The 22,653-nt window shown below is 34.1% G+C and overlaps 1 long non-coding RNA gene across 1 annotated transcript in view; it reads left to right on the forward strand.

Moving 5' to 3' along the window:
* LOC105379062 (uncharacterized) overlaps window positions 1-22,653 on the forward strand; it is a 50,894-nt gene that overhangs the window by 15,627 nt on the left and 12,614 nt on the right. Inside the window, exon 2 of the long non-coding RNA XR_948532.2 lies at window positions 399-533. This is a non-coding gene — a long non-coding RNA (uncharacterized LOC105379062). The remainder of the gene's footprint in view (window positions 1-398; window positions 534-22,653) is intronic.

Genomic DNA, 22,653 nt, shown 5'->3' on the forward strand with positions numbered 1-22,653 from the left:
ACTTTTAGAGTTAATTTCAAGATAAACTATTTACAGAGCTTTTGTGTTTTTTTTGTCATTTAGAAATCAACATTACAGGGAGAAGTGAGTCCATACCCATCTTTGGACTTCTGTAACTTAGCTTTTACCACTCAATTTACATTTAACACCAAGTCTCAGATTATTTAGGTAAGATGTAACCATTCAACAATCTGGAGTTAATATTATTGTACATTACTATTGTAAAAATAAAGAGTTATTTTTAACTTAAAATGCCTTAAATAGGGTTAGATAAGAGCATCTTGAAAGGCAGAACAGAATAAATGACAACATAGTAGCTGGAAAGAAGTAGAAATGGCTTAGTTCAGAAGTGTTTATATTTTTGTTTTTCTCTTATCCTCTTGTATTTAATGGAATAGAGAGTATACAGGATGCAATGAAAGATACATCAACACCGATTCAGAAGAAATGAAAACAAAGCAATTAGTCACAATAATATAACACAATTCTACATCATGGAAAATTTGGAGCTGGAAACGTGGCAGAGACATCAGGTAATGAAACCATTTTCCATAGCCTCAGTGGACGTTAGAATGCTGTTAGATATTTATAAACGTATGTTTTGCCTGGAAGGAGTCTCCGTTTTCGACAAATATTCTGAAGTATATACATACAATAAATGTGTTAATCATTTTTTTTCAGCCCTTCTCATTAACCTTTCCTCTACAGAGTACTGAATTGACCCATCTAATTTATTTTCCTCCACAGTCACTCAAGAAGCATTCTTCCATTTCTTGGCTAGTAATTTGGACTTTTTTGATGTCTAGGCAGTAGGATAAGAGGTTAATTTGAAAGAGAAGGACGGCATTAAGGCTAGAGCTCAGACAGAATTGATTTTGAGAATGTTTTATAAAGTTATAGAATAAGGTATATGAAAAAGTAGATGGTGGAATCATTATTACGGCAGGCTATGTATGTTGCCTTTTCACCACCTAAACAATCAAAAACAGTATTCATTTTTTTCTCTAAATTGCATTTTGGTGGTAAATGGGATGTGTTTTTAACCAAGAAGCACTCTGACATAGAAAAAGAAATGTGATGTCCTGTTTTCAATAGGAAATGTATACAGTATGCACATATATTTGTGTATTCTTCTGAAATCAGTTTATCTTTATATCCATATTTACATCCTTAAACATATCAATATTTTATACCTCTGACACAGTTTGAAAGTGATTAAAGTTTGCAGCACGTATAGTTTATTGGGTTGCAACTATAAAATAATTATTTTCAGATTTGTAAGATGACGATAAAAAATGTAATGCATGTTTATAAAATGTTCACCGTAAATTAGGCCCTTTACTTACATTCCTTTCACTTCTTTATAATAACTAATAATATTGCCTTCATTTAAGTGGCTCACACATAGTGTGTGACTCACTCACTATTTGTATTCCTGTGTGAAGTACAAATATATATATATATGTTAACTTCCCAAATAAAATATTTCATTGAGAGAAGATAGTGAATTAAATGGATTTTTTATTACAGGCAACATCTAAGCTAGCAAAAACAGGATGAGTAATTGATTAAACTGTTTGATTCCTTAAGAAAAAGTATGCATGCAAGTACAGTACCTTATTCTCCATAGTTTTTAACATTCGTATCCAGTAAAACTTCAAATCTTATTTATAAGGAAGTAGATTAGAAACCTTTAATATATTGTAGGTATTCTTTAAAAATCAATTCTTCCTCCTTCACTTTCCCTCCAAAACAAACTTTGATTTGCAAAACTTAGTAATAAGTAATCACCATTTATTTGCTGCTATGAAAAATAACTAAAAATATGATATTTTGACCTTTTAAAATATCAAATCATTTATTCTAACCTTTCAGAAATCAAATTTGTCACACTATATTTGAAAAATAACATAGAACTATAATTTCAGTTACATTTATTGTACACTCTGAATCTCATTTCAAGAGAAAATTAACTAATGTGGGAGTAAACACTGCCTACTACTGCCCTAAGTTTAACCTCTTTTGATATATTCATCAATCTGTTAATTATTATTCATCAAAAGTACTGTGTGATTAGAGAGATTAGAAAAATAGGGCCAGAGAACCCACAATAGCAGCAATAGAGACAACAGCAGTAAGATCACCAGCTGTTACTACCCCTGCTATAATTTATATTTGTGATTCTGAAAATAACAGAGAAGCTTACAAAAAAGCAGAGAGATGTAACTGTGGTGAATTTATTTTTCAAGAGTAGATTTTTCATCTTTAGAAAAAATAGATTTTGCTTAGATTGAAAGAAGAAAAATGTAAGTGAATAATGAATAAAATATGGATGCAGTTAAATTAAACAAGCCCTTAAGGTGAACCAATTCCATCCTAACTTAAAAATCTTTACTAGGTTTGTTTGCCTGTCCTACTACAGGACCAAGTAATAACATGAACCAACAAATATTATATTTTAATAATTATAATGAGAAAACCTCTTACCCTATTTCACATACGTTGGTGTGCTATGTGTGGATCAGCTTGATCTTTCCCGTGCTTTTTAAGCCTTTTTTACAGTGGCTCTAGAGTATTTCTTCCTTTAGAGTTAGTTTAGTCTAGTGTGGGTCTAGACTAGTCTTTTTACAGTGGGTCTAGAGTAGTCTTTCCTTTAGAGTTAGTTTAGTCCCTGTAACATGATGAAGCCCTTTGGAAGCATCTACTAAGTGCCCCAAATACGCCACAATGTTTTTCTACTCTAGGTAATAAATCAAAATGATTCACAGCCCTGGGGTGCTCAGGGAATTTTCCAGCTTATGGCTTCCCAGACATTGTCTTTTTCATTGTAGTTGTGCTTTGTCTGGCCTCCTAAAGTTAAACTTAATGAATGTAGAGATTGATATTCAGACAAAGATAGTGGAGGCTTTTAAGCAGATTCAAGTTATTTCCCTGCATTGATCTCTCCAGTACTCTGCCCCAACAATTCCAGTTGCCACACCCTCCTTTAAATGAAATTTAGGTCTCTTTACCTTGCCAAAATTACTCATCTCCTCTTGCCATGACCATGCAATTATCTCCAGGCAGAAAGCCAGGGTGATGGGAGGGCTTATCTCATAGTTGTCCTCCTCTCAGAGATCACTCCTGCCCTGCCGGTTGTCAAATACCTAAAAGCAATGGTCTTATCTATTTTCTCCAGTTTTATAGTTGTTTCATGTGTGAGGGCAAGTCCCATACAATTACTCCTTCATAGATGAAAATTTGGCCGTGGCCTGGGTTCTCCAGTACCTGCCTGCAGCTCGTCGGTTTCACTGTTTTAGCAGCTGTGCTTCATGAGTCTTACAGTCCCAAGGTCCCAGCCTTCTACCAGCATTTTAATTGACATATTCACCAAGTCAAAGAGGCTTCAGAAGGCAGATAAACTCTTAGACATATTTTTCTCTGATTTCTTAATTCTTTAAGTTCCACTGCCTCCATAGTTCTTTGGCTTCAAATGCCTGAATTTTATGTAAATATTTTACTTTTTTTTTTACTCTTAACCCTTGGTCTTCCTTTAGCTATTCCATTTCACTTGAAAGCAGTTCTTTTCTCTATTTTCAAACTAACTTCCCATCCTCTGGAATTTAACCAGACTTATTTTTCACAACCTCATTAAACCTAGGAAAACACTGTGTATAATTGAATGAACATTTTACAAATGTGTAAGAAATAAACTATATTATTATAGTTGTGGGCATTTGGAAAAGGAAATAAATTAGTTAATATTGTACACATGGACTATATATATACATATCTTTTTACTATTTAACTTTTTACAACAAACACATTATTTTATTAAATAGGTGCTTTTAAAATCCAATAAAATAAATTGCAAATAATAATTGACAGCATATTACCTATGGATAAATTCTAAGCTTCATAAGTATCACCCAGTTAACACTTGGTGTGGCTGGTCAGTCTCTCTCCAGTGTCACCTCTGACTACATTCTGCCTCCAACTTTGCACTCCAGAAACAAGAAAACAATTCTAATGTCTTGCATGTGGCATATGAATTATTGCTTGTGCTCTCCCCTAATCCTCTAATGTATGTTCAAAAGCAATCTCTGCTTAAAGTTTCTCTCCCATCGCACTAAGTCTGGGCCATTTTTACAAAATTTATCACTATCAAAACTATCAGATTGCTTTTTTTTTTCTAGCATGTGTTTAAGCTACCCAGTGTTAGTAATAGTGGGCATCTTTTAACTTTAATATTTGAGAATCACTGTAGCTAGTCTTATCTCTTGCAGATATTAGGGAGGCATTTTGTGGAATTGAGTTAATTTACAATAATCAAAATCCTTGTAATTCCCATGTAAATAATACTTTGATGGTGAAAGAAATAGTTATATACAGAAAAAAATAGGTGTTAGAATAAAGCATCTTGGCTCCCATATTTGCCTGAAGAACAGCCTCTGATATATAAAAGTATATTGATATGTTGTAATTTATTTTCGTAAATTCCCAATTTCCTCCAAAGATATGATTTAGATACTGTGAAGAATATAGTCTCTAGGGTCTATTGAGCAGACATTATGGGATTATGTATTTCTTAAAAATAACACTCAAATATAATTGTAGTAGAAATTGGAAAGTTGAAAAAGTAATTAGACTAACATAATTACTTTGAACATAATCTCATCGCATTTGGGAAAATACAGACTCTATGAAACAATAATTCATATGCTGTATTTATTTTCTAAATAGACTATCAGTTTATACAGAATGAGTATGATTTACGTATTTTGAAGGCAGTGCTTGCCATCAACAGTGTCTATATAGCACCTTGAATACCAATCACTTTATGCGAGTTTAAATAGATTGTGGTTTAATTAACTTTCTGCCTAGCTAAGTTTAGCTTTTCTAAACTAAACCAATTTAGAAAATACTGGGTCTTAGCCACTGCCAAGGACCTCAATTATATCAGTTGTTTGTTACTCCGTAATATTTGAAATTTGGGAGATCTATGGTTTATATTCATAAATGTCCAAATTTATTGCAACGATAAACACTTTTAAATATTATTATTATTATTTGAGATGGGGTCTCCCTTTGTCACCCAGGCTGGAGTGTAGTGGTGCGATCACGACTCACTGCATCCTTGCCCTCCTTAGGCTCAGGTGATCCTCCCACCTCAGCCTCCCAAGTAGCTGGTTCTACAGGCATGTGCCACCACACCAGGTGAATTTTTGCATTTTTTTAGAGACAGGGTCTCCTCATGTTACCCAGGTTAGTCTCTAAGGGTCATGAAGAAAACAGAAATAGAAATGTGTTGTTATTATTTTTTAACCTTGTATTAATTTAAAGCTGTCTAAACATGGTTAATATTGAAAAACCAATTTAATTTGTTCATTTTATCAAGAAAAATATGCTACAATTAATAAAAATAGTTTATTACACATGAAGGAAGATTCAAGTTATTACAATTATAGAATTATGAAAAATTCAAAAATTATAAAATTAGATTAGATGATACCTTTCTAACATCCATTAACATTTCCTTATTTATATATATTACATAAACATTACATAAAATATGTAATAACAAAAAATATATATATTTCTGTATGTTAAATGCTTCATATCAGAAAGATTTTAAAATAGCTTTTGGGTGACAGAGAGAAATTTTGAAGACAGGCTACTTAGGAGAGCTAATTATTTAACAGACAATTGCATGATGCAAAGGACTAAGATAGTAAGAGATCTGTGGAAGAGTGAGAAAGTAGGAAGTCTTTCATAAAAAAACAGCAAGTCACTGGGACAACCGTTTGCTTGCATATTCCATAAACACATACCAAAATCTCTACAAAAAATGATTGTATTTTAGCTACAAAAGTTTTTTTTTCCTTCTAACTAGCCAGATATTTTCTCTTTAGTTGTACTTTGTGTTTATATTTTATCAAAGTCTAATTTCCTTCGGTCCCTGAGCTTTTCAAATGAAGTATACTGCCTTCATTTATCTCTCAGGTCACCACATTTAATGGTGGACAAAATTTATACTACCATCTGATAATATCTGCAATCTACCTTATCCTTCAATCTCATCAAAGACCTGTTGACTCTCTCATTTTATTTTACTTTCAACTATCTAAACTACAATTTACTTAAAGAGAGAATTTAAATGTAAATTTCTTTTTTTTCATGAATTTTTTAATTTTGGACACTTCTTATCTCTGAAGGCCTATCTCTCACGGTGTTTCACAGGAGTGACCAAGATGTCCAGGATAAAATAGTATGTTCTTATTGTTCATTAGGATAGTTGGATTTAGAAATGGGTGCATGTATCAAAACAAAAATGTCTAAGCAGTGTAATTCCCGAGTTCAAGCGATTCTCCTGCCTCAGCCTCCCGAGTAGCTGGGATTACAGGCGCATGCCATCATGCCCAGCTAATTTTTTCTACTTTTAGTAGAGACGGGGTTTCACCATCCTTGTGATCTGCCTGCTTTGGCCTCCCAAAGTTCTGGGATTAGAGGCGTGAGCCACCACACCTGGCCAGATTTTACATTAATTAAAATATTTTATCTTAATAAAAACCCTATGATGTGCATCTAATTATTATCACTATTATAGGTATCTATAATGAAATATAGAGACATCTTTCAAGCAGCAAGGTGTCTGATATCAATTCATGTAGTTTGGCTCCTGAGTCTGCATACTTAATTACTTTCTCTGCAGCCTTTAATATCATCGATATATATCTTTGGTCAATATAATTAAACTATTTTTCTCTTTCTAGTTATTCATTACAAAACATCACCGGAGTTTTTTCTGTGAATATTGGCCACACTCTAAATTTGCATACCTTCAATGAAGTATGAATTTTTCTCATCTAATCTACCTTATTATGGTAAATGTCTTTGCCCTTTCTACATCAGGGTTGTGACTTCAGCTGAAAAACAAGGTGCTGTGATTTATCCCAAAACCATTGATAACCTTAACAATCATTACAATTTTCAATAGTTATAAATATCATCCAGAAGAAACCTTATAGATATATTCTACTCATTTATGCCATCACAAATAGTAGAAAGACGAACATGTCCAACATGTTTAGTGTGGCTGGTGACTCAAGTGAGATGGTAAGACAACTAATCTTTGAATCTAGTAGTTTGGAGACCATTGACGATATTGATAAAAGCTAATTTGGTTGACCATTGGAGACAGACCATAAACAGAGTGAGTTCAAGAGCAAATTAGAAGAGAGGAATCAGAGACAACAGAAAAACAAAACAAAACAAAACACCACATCTAAGGAACTGAGCTGCAATATGAAGAAATCAAACTTGGTTTCTGGAGGGTAAAGTGTAATTGAAAAAGATTATTTGTTTTAATGACAGTACATATGTACGTTGATTGGTACAATCTAATAAAAAGATGAAAAGTAATGGTGTAAAACTAAGAAGGCTTAATTGCTGAAACCATATTTTTGACTAGACAAGAGGTGAAGGGTTTTAACTGCACGAAATAAAAGGTTGACCATAGCTAGATGCATTGCCAGTTTATTCTCAACAAAAGAAAGAGCACAGCATGAAAGTACTGGTCCCAAATCAAAGTACTTTTGCAGTACTTGTGGTGGCAATGTGTGGAGTTCTTATTTGATTGTTTATATTTTTTCAGAGAAATAGAATGTGATGAGCTACTAGGAGAAATGTTGTGGAAGAAATATTAGATGTTTGAGGAAATAAAAGAAATAGTCAAAGATTGTGGGGAGATGAATGGATTAAGCAAATATGATGTGACTTTTGGACAGCATTATAATCTCATCAAGGGTTAGAATCAAGAATTTAAAATGAGAATAGCCAGCAGAGATCTGTATTTTTCTCTAGCCACATTGCTCTGTATGTGTATAGACATGAAGGAAGATATGAAGTGGATACTGTTAGACTTTCAGATATCTATAATCTGTGCTGATGCCTAAAAATTTAATAATCATAGCTTTAAAAAATTGTACTTACCAAGTAAATTTTCCAAAAACTTTACCTATATAAATCCTTTAATCTTCAAAGCAACCCATTAGGTTGACAAGATTATTTCTCTTAATTTTACATGAATAAGATGACATGAGTAGGTTAAAAAACATGCCCAAATCACACAGCTAATAGAGACAGAACATAACTTTTAAACTATACGCTGTTATATTACCTATTTTTATATTGTTTTACTTTCTCATCTTTTGTTAATAATATCTTGAAGCATCAGCTTTTTAGGGGTATTAGTACTGCTGTTAGGCCTGTCTAAAGTCCAACTTATCAATCTTGCCAAATTATATATGGGAAACAAAAGGACTGTCACTTTTGGTAATGATCTTTTGTTAAACCCAGTGACTTGTCTTTATTGTTGTCAGAAGAAGAGAAAGAATAATAAAATTTCAGCAACAATTCTTAATATTTTATAAAGAATCACTGATTTTGATAGAACCTCAGTAGGCAAAGGAAAATGTGTGGTTTCATGATCTATAATATATCACTCTGTATTAATTTTGTAGTTACCTTTTTCACAACTTGTTTTCAGGCTGTTCCACATTAGTCTATTTGCTAATGCATCCTCATCTTTCTATCCTCTTAACATTGGCATGTCTCAGGATTCAATACTTATACCACTTCTTATTTTTGTCTTCACTTAACCCTTATATGATCTCATTAAATCTACAGCTTTAAGTGTCATTTGTATTAGTTAATCAAGTGTATTAAACCCTGGTTCTAACGTCCTAACACAGCACACTCTTACTCTCCTTTCTCATCTAACACATGCAATACAGGTTAATAGATTGTGTCTGCTTATTGAAGATACTGCTTATTGAAGTGTAGGTTTATTCACTATCTCAAAACCATCATCTCAGAATGAGGCTTTAAGGGTGTGTCAAAGCATGGGAATATAACATGAAGAATTATGTTCTGACTTGGATTGCTTCTAACCAAAGGTGACACATATAAGTTCCATTCAAATATTGTTAGCTAACAGAAGTCATGTGGACATATCTAATTTGAAGTCAGCAAGTAGTATTATCCCTTATGTTTAGGGAGGGGAAGAGAACTGGAAATATTGGTAAATATTAGTAATGCTTACCATGTCCAGATAAATAGTAATAACTTGTGAATTTGTATCTTTAGACTTGACTTTTACATGTAACTCTTTTTGTTTGTTTGTTTTGAGACAGAGTCTCACTCTGTAGCCCAAGCTGGAGTGCAGTGGTGTGATCTCGGCTCATTGCAACCTTCACCCTTGCGTTCAAGCGATTCTCCTGCCTCAGCCTCCCAAGTAGCTGGGAATAGAGGCGTGTGCCACCACACCCAGTTAATTTTTGTGGGGTTTTTTTTTGTATTTTTAGTAGAGATGGGGTTTCACCATGTTGCCCTAGGTGGTCTCGAACTCCTGAGCTCAGGCAATCCACCAGCCTTGGCCTCCCAAAGTGCTGGGATTACAGGCATGAGCCACCGTGCCCGGTCATGTGTATTTGAACTCTTATATTCAAATACCTATATACGATCTTTACTTCTGTGTCTAATAAGCATTTAACATTCATAAAACCAAACTTCTGACCTATCGTATTACACTTGCTCATCCTATAATTTTCTAAGTCCATTATTCAGGCCAAAAAGATCTTGGATTCCACCCTCTCTTTCATTGTTTCTTACACTCCATATCCAATTCATCATCAAGTACTATTGATTCTGTCTTTAAAATATATCAAAAATGTTACTACTTATTAGCTTCTAATAAGTAACTGGTCAACCTGGTCCAAACTACTTTCTCCTCAATTATAGCTAAAGTGATTCTTGGGAAACATAGTAATGTTTTCATATTATACTCAAAGTAAAAGCTAAATACCTCAAAGACCTTAAAATTTCTCATAAGATATCCCTATGAGTTATAAACCCATCTCTTGTCCTTTTAAAAATGTACTTGTATTTTTTATCCAGTCTACCATTGGCGTGGACCAATGGTCCGTGGGCATTTACCAGTCTATGAGCATTTAGGTTGACTCCATGTCTTCGCTATTGTGAATAGTGCTGTGATGAACATAAACATGCATGTGTCTTTATGGTAGAATGATTTGTATTCCTTTGGGTATATATGCAATAACATGATTGCTGGGTTGAGTTCTTTGAGAAATCGCCAAGCTGCTTTCCACAGTGGCTAAATTAATTAACATTCCCACCAGCAGTGTATAAGTGTTCCCTTTTCTATGCTACCTGGCCGGCAGCTGTTATTTTTTTCTTTTCAGTAATAGCCATTCTGACTCGTGTGAGATGGCATCTCACTGTGGTTTTGATTTGCACTTCTCTCATGATTAGTGATGTTGAACATTTTTCATATGCTTGTTAGGTACATGTATGTCTTCTTTTGAAAAGTGTCTGTTTGCCAGGTGTGGTGGCTCACGCCTGTAATCCCAGTGCTTTGGGAGACCAGAGTGAGCAGATCACAAGGTCAGGAGTTTGAGACCAGACTGACCAATATGGTGAAACCCCATCTCTACAAAAAATACAAAAAATCTAGCTGGGCATGGTAGTGCACACCTGTAGTCCCAGCTATTCGGGAGGCTGAGACAGGAGAATTGCTTGAACCCAATGTGGAAGTTGCAGTGAGCCGAGATTGTGCCACTGAACTCCATCCTGGGCAATAGAGGGAAACTCTGTCTCAAACAAACAAACAAACAAAAACAAGAAAGAAAAGTGTCGCTTTACGTCCTTTGCCAACTTTACACCATGAAATATGCAACCATAAAAAGAAGAAGATCATGTCCTTTGCAGCAACATGAATGGTGCTGGAAGCCATTATCCTAAGCAAACTGACACAGGAATGGAAAACCAAATACTCCATGTTCTTATTTATAAAGTGAAGCCCAAACGTTGAGTACATATGAACACAAAGAAGGGAACTGACATGGGGGCCTGCTTGAGGGTGGAAGGTGGGAGGTGGATGAGGACCAAAAAATTACCGATCAGGTATTACGCTTATTGACTGGGTGACAAAATAATCTATATACCAAACCCCTGTGACATGCAATTTACCTATATAACAAACCTGTACCTGTACCCCTGAACCTAAAATAAAAGTTAAAAAAAAGAAAAGAAAATCAACCTGTAATTCTTTCTCTCACTTTTTTGCAGCAACACTGGCCTCCTTGAAGTTTCTTGCACACGTCACATCTTGTTTTGAGGCTTTTGAATTATTTTGCTCTCTTTGCCTTTAATAATCTTTACAATGGGTAACTTGACAGTTTCACTACCTTATCCCAATGATCAAAGTTAACATCACCAGTAATGAGTAGTGCTGATATCATGTATTCTTTGATAAATAGATTAAGAATTGTATTTCACCTTAGTGGTATTCTTCCTCCAAAATCCATAATCCTTGTATAATTATGAGAAAATATCACACAAACCCAAATTAAATGACATTTTAGAAAACACTTATGCAGTGCTTTTCAAAAGTATCAAGATCATTTTAAAAAGCCTCAGCAAAATAATGTGCAACAGTATCCACATGATTCCGAACACTATCTTTCTCCATTTTCAGATAATATAAAATAATTATTTAAGTCAAAGCTGGTATTTATGTCTTATAAAAGCATTGTGTGGGTTGCACTAAACAATTTTTTCCTGAATCTGGTAAATTCCTACATGGATGTGTTAAGTACTACACTGAAGCACTTTATATTAAATTGACCTGAAAAAAGAAAATAATTGTACATTGCTAATATAAGGAGATTAAATAGGTAAATCGAGTTCTATTTTAGCTTTTTCAAGTGTTTCTCTACTCTCTTCTTCATTTTGGTAGGGGATTATTCATTCCAATGCTCATACAGAAATTCCTTCTTGCTTTTTTTTCTTTTTGGAGGTATAAATATATATATTACTTTCGGTGCATATATATATATATATATATATATATCTGATATATTCTATACATATATATACACACACACACATATATTCTACTCAAATGATGTTCTTCATTTTTCCCCATGAATGATATAGTAGTTACTCAGATTTTTGAATACTGTAACTTAATTCTGACAGTTGAGGTCAAACAATATTGATATTTATGATATTTTTGCTTAAGGAATATCGGAGTCATAAAATAATTTTATTTTATGGAGTGTGGAGAATGCCTGAGAACAAGAGGGATACCTGCCCTGAACAAAGTCCTATTATTTAGTGAAGTACATTTAACAAAGTGCCAACGTTATATTACCAATAAGCCAGCATGATTTACTTCCAGCGATTATGTAGTTTACGAGTAGCAGGGTATTTTTGTCCTCTGTTCAAAGGCAAGATTCTCAAAATAGTGACCCTCGGGTAAGAGACACATAAATTTGGATGAATAAGTTATATTCTATATTTTTGTTTAAGAATTATCTAAATTCTGTGACAGTATATACTACAGGACTAACAACTAAAATAATTCATTGTTTTATGCCATTATAATCAATTACATTAAAATGAATTCTCTCTTATGGAAAATCGGAAGAAGCTACTTGATGCTTATGTCAGACAATTTGTTTGGGACTACAAGGTAGCAATTAGAGGAAAGAATAACTCACTTTTTCTGAAGGCTGCTTTATCTTCATAAGAAGAGCCTTAAAAGAGATAATTTACCTGTTCAACAGTTCAAGGGCCTGTGGATAAAAAGGTGAAAAAAATAATTTCTACCCTTTATTAGCTTATGTTATTCTGGGATCACAGATGATATGAACAGACAATTATAATAGAAATAGATCACTTTAATATTTAAAGCTTTAGGAGTTGAAATATCTATCAGAGAAACTATTGAAGTTATAAGAAGACAGGCAAGAGGATACATGTACTCAAAGGAGTAACAAAATATGGAAAAAGAAAAGTTTCAAAGGAGGACAGAAGTCTAATTTGAATAACGATTAACTACAGGATTTATCAACGTGCAGATCACTGTTGACTTTGCCGAGGGTGCGTTTGGCGAAGTGATAAAGCTACTTTCTGAAGTGGGTTCAAGACAAATTGTACAGAGAGGAACTGATAGAAGAGAATACAGGAAAATTAGTGTAAAAGAGGCAGATTAATTTGAATTTAGCTGGAGGAGACTATACAGAGGGATAACTTTATTTCTTTGAAATGGGAGTTATTAGACAATTTTTACATGCTAGTGAGAATGATTCAATAAAAAGGGAAAATTATGCCTCAGGAGAGGGAGCAGGAAAAAATAAAGAAAAAAAGGGAACATAACAGATAATGTTAGCAAATGTAAGAACAATTGCTGAAACAACAACCTTGCACATATAATAGTGCATGAGGTCTAAGAAGGCATAACTGGAGAAATTTTCTTTGCCTGGCAGGAAGAGGGAAGTGTTCATCCTTAGAAGTATAGATGCAGGTAGGTGGGAGGATGTGGTGGTAGGGACATATATTCACTGTTGCATAATTATTTCTCAGTGAAATAGGAAGCATGGAAAGGACACAAAAAGTTACAAAATAGTCACCTCTGAGAGTTGGGTAGATAGTGGTGGATAAAGAGGGAAGCATAGCAGAACTGCTGGACGTCACTAAGGACCCACTTAAAGTCAATAATACCAGATGGCAAAAAGTTAATTTTCCCTCCCTTCAGCAACACTAAATTTGGTGAATCAGTCCTAAGATGAATTTATTCAGTTGTGATTTTGCTTGAAATGTATAAAAAATAGTATAATACTAATGAAGTTTAAGGAGGGAAGTGAAGACAGATGAAAATAAAGGTCAGTGCAATGATGGTGAGATCAATGCCTTGGAGATGAGGTGTAGGGGAAGCTGTGGAAGGCAGAGAATCATTAGATTTAGGTGCCAAGGATAGGAGACAGGGCACCTTTAGAGTGATTTCCTCCAAGATCTCACGGTGCAATGGTAGCACTTCCAACTGTAGAGTGATTGTACTTTCATAATAGGAGAAATAGTGTTTCATTGTAATAGGAGGCATGTAGTAAATATTTAATACGTATTTTTGATTGGTATTTTAAAATACATCAAGTGTACAACATACATCAAGTATGTTTAAAATACATCAAGTATATAACATAAATATTTAGGTAAGAGGCTGAGGTGGGCGGATCACGAGGCCAGGAGTTCGAAACCAGCCTGGCCAACATAGTGAAACCCCATCTCTACTAAAAATAAAAAAATCAGGTGTGGTGGCATACACCTGTAGTCCCAGCTACTTGGGAGACTGAGGCGGGAGAATCACTTGAACCCAGGAGGCAGAGGTTTCAGTGAGCTGAGACCATGCCATTGCACTCCAGCCTGGGTGACAGAGTGAGACTACGTCTCAAAAAAAAAAAAAAAATAGGTACAGTAGTGTCTCCATTCATTTTACACTGTTATAAAGGAATATGTGAGGCTGGATAATTTATATTTAAAAAAGAGGTTTATTTGATGCATGGTTCTGCAGGCTGTATAAGAAGCATGGTGTCAGCATCTTCATCTGGTAAGGACCTCAGGAAGTTTTCAATCATGGAAGAAGGTGAAAGGGGTACAGGCGAGCCACATAGTGAGAGAGGCAGGAAGAAAGAGAAGGGGAGGAAGGTGCCAGGCCCTTTTCAAATATTGAATCTCACTGTAACCAATAGAGCAATAACCCGCTCTTTGTTGTGGGGATGGCACCAAGCCATTTGTGAGGGATCTGCTCCCATAACCCAAATACCTCCCACTAGGCCCTATCTTCAACATTGGGGATCAAATTTTGACTTGAAATTTGGAAGGAACAAATACAAGTAGTTCTCCCTATGTACAGTTTTACTTTCTGTGGTTTCAGTTAGTTTTCTGTGGGCAATCATGTTTCAAAAATATTAAATGGAAAATTTTGGATGTAAACATTTACATAAATTTTATTACAGTATTGTTATTGTTCTATTTTATTATCAGTTATTGTTAAGCTCTTACTGTGACTAATTTATAAATCAAGCTTTATTATAGATATGTATGTATATGAAAAAACAGCATACGAAAGGTTCTGTACTATCCAGGGTTTCAGATATTCACTGGGGATTTGGGAACATATCCCCCTGGATAAAGGGGGACTACGGTGGAAACACTAGTTAAGTCCTGTGTTAAATGCACTATAATTCAAGTTCCACTGGAGGGATTTTAGTCAGAAAGAGGAGATGTGCTAAGAGATATACTAGGTTTAGTTCGGAGACCACTTGTCTGTATCCTCTGATTCTTGCTCTCTTGAGGCAGGAAAGAGGAGTTATTAATATACAGGAAGGCAAAAGATTCAGAGGCAAGCAGGTGCGACTGTGTGGGCTCAGTTCCCAACACCACCCTTGAATCCATTCTCTAAATTTCCATACCTCTCCTTTTACAGTAGTCTACCCAAATAACATTAAGTTACATATCTAACCAACTTTTTTTTAATTCAAGCTTCACTTTTCTCATATATCATTGTCTTCTATATATGACAAATTTATTGTCTCAAAACTCAAACTCTCTCTGTCCTCATTTTTATTCTATCTCCTCCTTAGAAAATAGACTGTGGCATAGAATGGCAAAGTCAGGATAGTTTTTCATCCCTAACTTTTATTAAAGGAAGCTATCAATGTCAATCTTCCTCTCCATGTCTTTGCTTCAGTGATTCTTAACAAGGAAATTAAGTTGAAAATAGGAGGAATGTGGGTCTTAAATGACACATTTCATATTAAACACTTCCTTTTAAAACCATGCAATAAATATTCTTAAAGTAGTAAATGTTAACAAAGAGAACGTCTATTATGTACCTAATGTGAGTTTTTGCTGGTTTGTGGTATTTAGAATATACATTTTTAAAACATAGAGAAAAGTCAACATAATGTAAGCTGCTTATAAGAGACCTTCAAGAAAAAGGTAATATTTGATAAAACACCTGTGAATGTTAATGAATTTGTCACCCTTTCCTCTAAAAGACAAAGTTATTCCAAGCACTTCAGAATGTCCAAGTTTAGTCTCAAATGATCTATCCTGTGGAACACTGCAAGATTCAGTTTTTAAATCTGTGCTTCAGAGAACAGCAGCCCATCAATTAACCTATTGTTAAATGCATTTTTAACACGCAGGTAATTTGACATTTTGAGATGTAAAATTTGGGGAATGTAAAGAGTAATTTCAATATAGACAGAATAAGTAACCATATTTACACATATGTACATGGGCCATGTCTTCAAGAATTGTTTGCAGTGATAGTTAAAATTGAATAAGATGACAAATTAATGATATTTTCATCCGGATTTGTTAGTCTACTCTATTGCATGTGACAATGATTTAGTACAGTGAAGATTGGCTTTTGTAGAAGTTCTATAAGTAGCTTCAATTAGGAAAATGTACTTAGGCAGACATTCTCAAGGCCTGTCCCTCAGAATGTTAATGTGAGTGGCCTTTAAAAGGAAATCAATAACTAGATAAATCTAGGAAAATTGGTCTAAACAAGGTAACACAGTTTGAACATTTCAGACTCTGATATTTTATGATATTTTGTACATTTGCAAAAGGGATAAATATCTATATGTATTTCTCAAATATATTTGAATACAGATAACCATGTTGCCTTATGAAACATAGTTCCACTATTATATAACTTTGGGAATGCAAGCGTGTGATTTTTTTTGTTATTGTTGTTGTTTTTCTCTTCATTATAACAGGTGTGGAGAGAAAAGAAGTAGGGATTAATGTTAATGGTCAGATAAATTTAGAAAACATTGGTTTAATAAGATTTGAAGAGGGAATCTGGAATCAGAGCATGTGTTTAAGAATTTCTATACTGTTGTATTTAAAACCTTTGCACCCTAGTAGGTCACAACTTTCTTGGCTTTTAGAATATTTATCTGTGAAATAGGACATTTAAACTAATAACCCTCAAGGGCAATTTTAACGCCTGATGAACCTGATTGGATGTGGGCCCACTGAACCTGGGCCTGTTTTTTCTCAAGTATGCATATTTCAGGAAATGGAGAGACAATGGGTAAATCGAAAGAGTTAAGGAAGAGCATCCTTGAAACACTGGGGAGTGTTACTGGTTGAATTGTGCCCCCCCCCCAACCAAATTCATAACTTGAAGTCCTCATTCCCAGTGCCATAAAATGTAACCTTACTTAGACATAATGGATATTACAGATGTAATTAGTTAAGATGAGGATACTGGCCCCTACTTCTGTATTACTGTTAACTTATGTTATTCTGGGGTTAGTTTATGTTATTCTGGGGTCCTTATAACAAAAGATGCCGGGCTCAGTGGCTCACACCTGTAATCCCAGCACTTTGGGAGGCCAAGGTGGGTTGATCACTAAGTCAGGAGTTCGAGACCAGCTTGACCAACATGGTGAAACCCCGTCTCTACTAAAAAATACAAAAATTAGCCAGGCGTGGTGGCAAACGCCTGTAATCCCAGCTACTCAGGAGGCTGAAGGAGAAGAATCGCTTGAATACGGGAGGCGGAGGTTGCACTGCGCCGAGATCACGACACTGCACTCCAGCCTGGGCGACAGAGTGAGACTCCATCTCAAAAAAAAAAAAAAAAAAGGACAGAAATATACACACATCTATGAGGAGACAGAATGTGAAAATGAAGACAGAAATGAAATGATGCTTTTACAAACAAAGAAATGTCAATACCAGCAAACCACCAGGAGCCCGAGGAAGAGGCACACAGCAGGTTTTTCCTCACACTCTCAGAAGAAACAAACTGCAGAAACTTTGATCTGGGACTTCTGGCCTCTAGAACTATGAAACAATGAATTCCTGTTGTTTAAGCCATCGGTTTTTGATGCTTTGTTATGGCAGTCTTAGTAAACTAATACAGAAGCAAGACAATAGGCAAAGTACATTATACAAAAAGTTAAGAATTAACATATGTCTTTGTACAGAACACATTGTAATTTCTACCCACACAGGGAATCCGAAAACATGAGTTATTACATAATTATTTTGCAAGTCAAAATAATTTTTTTAAATGACAGTGTTTCAAAATATCTCATTATACGAAAGAGGTGAAAGTAGAGTTGTAACACGAGTGTAGAAGCAGTGAGTTGCTTGAGCTTCCCACTCCTCCACCTGCCTCCCTATTACTTCTGGAAGAGGATATGAGGCACCCGTATAGAACTTTTGCATCTGGGACAGCAGTTGGCTGGGTTTCTCACCAGGGGACCAAATGCGCCTTTTTTATCTTCATTTCTTCTTCCAAAACACACCACCACTGGCATCTTAGTTTGAATTCCTTTGCTCATTCTTGTTATTCAACCACCTTCTTGATATCATCCATATGACTCCATAGAATTTTAATAACAGCAATAGTAATAAAAATAATTGTACTACTCATAGTAACAGCATTAATTGAAAACTGTCTATGCCAGGCACTGTTCTAAGTGCTTTATATGTATTAATTCTAAGACATCACTATTAGACATTGAAAACTAATACTAGACCAAAGATTTACAATACTGTAAAATAATGTAATTTCTTCACCATATAAATATGTGTATGTTTTCAGTTACATATAATTTTTGGCATATACTATAATTTCCTCTTGGTGTCTATCTATAAGTTTGCAGTTTCTTCCCAATTTTTGTTTGTCTTACTACAATACTGAATATTGGGCAATACACTGTACAGAATAATTTAATTAATACTGTCAACAGAATTTTTTCTTTCAAACATTAAATGAAGAACTGTGATGAGATTTCCTGGTTTTACTATAAATATTTTCTATGTTTAAAGAAAGCATGTTTATTGAAGAAAAACTGCTTTCTTCTGAATGCTATTAATGGTAAACATAAATGAATTCTAAGTTACTCCTGTGTATAAATCGTCAATGGTATGTAAAAAATACAATACTTAGGACTCAAGCTACAGCAACAAATCGACTTGGTAATTGCATATAACAAGGCTACATAATATAACTCTGCTAATGAGATTTTAATTCTCGAATCTTTCTTGTGAATTAGTCAATGAAAGTAACAACAGAAATTTAGGTTTCTATTGTCACTCTAATTTACTAGATTTTCAGCTATGTGACCTTGGCAAGTCACAACCTTTTGGGCCCTCATTTTACCTAGCATAAACTAAGGGGTTGGTTAGCTAATTTATGAAATTATTTTGACGCTAATATGTAAGACTATATACTTCTAAATAATGTAGCCTTCTAATTTTAGCTATTACTTATTACAAAATTTTAATTTCTTAGTTCTGAATGGCACAATAATGTGAACTTCAGAGTTCAAAGCTTTTTTTTTTAAAGTCATCTTGATCATCATAACAATCTGTAAATGTAAAGGTAATGTAACATAAAATGTAAATGTAATAGACAAGAGAACATCAATTTTACATGTTTATTTAACTGGTAAGATGTAAATACAAATCTCAAAACACTAATATGCATTACTGTTTTAACAGATAGTCAAAATTAGGAACACTTCCTTCTCTAATTGAGGATTTCTTTTTTTTTTCAAGGACTGATTATTTTCAGTTCCTAATTTCAGGTCCCCAGTAGACAGATTGGTTGTTAAGACGATATTAAACAAAATAACTTATGTTTATATCATATAACTTTTCCTAAAAATTATGTGGGCATATATATTGAAAATAGTTATTTAAATATCATGCTTAACTTTTTAATACTGTCAGACGTTTTTAAAATTTTTCTTGACTTCTCCAACCTAAACATTTGAATTTTACTAATTTATTAAGTCACTTAAGAATAAAATACAGATAAATTAATTTCTGAGGTCTCAATTATCTGACAATTTTTGTTTTCTGCATGCATTGGCACATATTTGGCTTATTAATGGAAGCATGGGATTTATGCAAATTGTTTTATGAAAACTATAAATATTATTGTATAAGTTCTGGATTTTTTCCTGAGAGTTTTTTTTTAGTTGTGCATTTTTGAAGTAAATATGTTATTATAAATATTAAATAAAGTAAATATTAAATAAATAACACATCAGAAAAAAACTTGCACACAGTATGCAACTTAAGAAATAGAAAATTAAGGCTGGGCACAGTGGCTCACGCCTGTAATCCCAGCACTTTTGGAGGCTGAGGCGGGTGGATCACCTAAGGTTAGGAGTTTGAGACCAGCCTGGCCAACATGGTGAAACTCCATTACTACTAAAAATACAAAAATTAGCAGGGCCTGGTGGCAGGGACCTGTAATCCTAACTACTCCGGAGGCTGAGGCAGGAGAATCCCTTGAAGTGGCAAGGCGGAGGTTACAGTGAGATTACAGTGGCAGAGATTGTGTCACTGCACTCCAGCCTGGGTGACAAGAAGTGCTACTCTCTCTCAATTTAAATTTATTTTGCTTTTAATTACTGAGATTCTGGAATGAACTTTAGTTGGCTTTCATAATTAGGGGAACATTTTCGGCATTATGTTTTCAAATATCTTCCATCATACAGTTATCTTGTTCTGAACCTCTGGTTCGATATGTGGGAGACATTCTCGAACTCTTCATGTTTCTTATTCTTTTATTCAAAAATTACTTATCTAATTATGTTTGACCTCAGTATGTGAATTATTTGGTCTTAAATTTCAGTAATCCTTCCTTTAGTTGGGCATAAATTCTCAATTGATATACTGTAAGACAGGTAAAATTCTCCTTTAACTTCCTAGGCACTCCTGCTGGGACTAGGAATTAAACTGACATAAAACAGATTAACAGGTGAAAAGTATATATGCTTTATTTAGTTATTTTTATACATACATGGGAGCCCACACAAGAAAATTGGATACCCCAAAAAGCAGTCAGGGCTGAAAGCTTATATACTAGTTTGGACAAAGAGTAGTGAATTGTGAAAAACATGATAAGACAAAGAGGTTTCGGCTAGGACAGTTAAATGTGGAAAGTGACTAGAAAGATAAGGGTTAGTTTAAAAAGGTTTATTTGTACAGATTTCTCCTGGCATCTACTCCTGGCCTGTGGTGATAAGAATGTCTTCCTTCCTCCAATAAGGGCTCCTTTTACATGGGAGCTTTATCTCCTGCTTTGAAAGAAACGAAGGTCAGAGTTCACTTCTTGTATCTGCTGTTTTTCAAGTGCCTTTAACTCAAAATAATCAATATGCCAAAGAGGTATATTTTGGGGTGACATGCTCCTGAACCCCATAAACACCAAATAAACATTTTTCTTCCCATTATTTTTAAAAATTTTATTTATTTTTAACTTATTTTAGCTCATAGTTTCAAAACTATCTTATTCCTTGAAACACATCAAACATATTTATTTTAAACTATTTTATAATAGTTCCATGTATACTCTTTCTGATGCTTCCAGTAGCTGAATATGTATAGACAAAATATTTTGTATTGCTTTCTATTATTTTTATTCACTCTCTCATCTGGTGCCTTCTTTACTTGTAAGTTTGTAATTTTTGAAAGAAAACTTTGGAACTTTATTGATAAACATCATTGAGACATTAGTTGAAATCAAGTTCTTCCAAAGAAGATCTTATAATCACTTATTGTTTAAATTTTCCACATTAGATTCTCTTTTATTGTGATCAGATACATATTGAAATACCATGTTGCAAACTCATGAGAGAGCTGATTTGAGGTTACCTATTCTCAGAGTAAATTTTTGCTCTCCATTCATCCACAACTCAATAAAGAAAAAAGTCTGCTGGTTGTTTTTGTTTATTTGCTTGTTTGTTTCTTTAGTGCAGATAAAGTTTATTATAATCTCTTTTTATTGTAATAAAATATAAATAACATTAAATTTATCATGTTAACCATTTTAAGTGTACAATCCAGTGACACTAACTAGTTCACAATGTTGTACGCTAATCACTGCTATTTAATTCCACAGTTTTTCAAGACCCTAACCATTAACTATGTAGCAATTAAACATATCTTACCATTGCCACTTCCCCCAGTCCTGGTAAAATCAAATCTACATATTTTTTTCTATGAAAATTATCTATTATAGTTATTTCATATAAATGGAATAATACAATATGTTTTCTTCTTTGTCTGGCTTATTTTACTTAGCATTACTTTTCCAAGGCTCATCCATACTGTAGCTTGTGCCAGAACTTCATTTTCTAATTGGCTGAATATATGCCATTGAATACATATATTATGTTTTGTTTATCCATTCATCAGTTGATTGTTTTGAATAATGCTGTTATGAATATTTAGGTGCAAGTATCTGTTTGAGTTCCTGTTTTCAAGTAATTGGGTGTATAACTTGGAGTACAAGTGTTGAGTTATATAAGAGTCAATTTTGTGAAGAATTGCCAAACTATTTTCCAGAGTCTGAGACAATTTACATTCCTACTAGCAGTGTAGGAGGGTTCTAATTTTTCCACCAACATTTGTATTTTTTCATTTTAAAAAGTTACAGCCATCCTAGTTGGTGTGAAGCCACATTGCACTATGTTTTTCATTTACAGTTTCTTAATGAGTAATGATTTTGAGAATTTTTTATGTGTTTATTGGCCAGTTGTGTATCTTCTTTCAAGAAATGTCTATTCAAGCCCTTTGCCCATTTTTAATTTTGTCTGTTTCTTTGTTTTTGTTGTTGTTGAGTTGAAGGAGTGCTTTACTTATTCTGCATATCAATGAAGCAGAATATTTTTTTGACCTCTTCCTGGAACTCAGAGAAATCAGTGAGGGGGTGCTTCATTGACTTAGCCTGCAGCTCTCATCCTCTTGTGGGAGGGAGCG

This window comes from Homo sapiens, chromosome 5 (assembly GCF_000001405.40).
Source record: "Homo sapiens chromosome 5, GRCh38.p14 Primary Assembly".
Classification (NCBI taxonomy): Eukaryota; Metazoa; Chordata; class Mammalia; order Primates; family Hominidae; genus Homo; species Homo sapiens.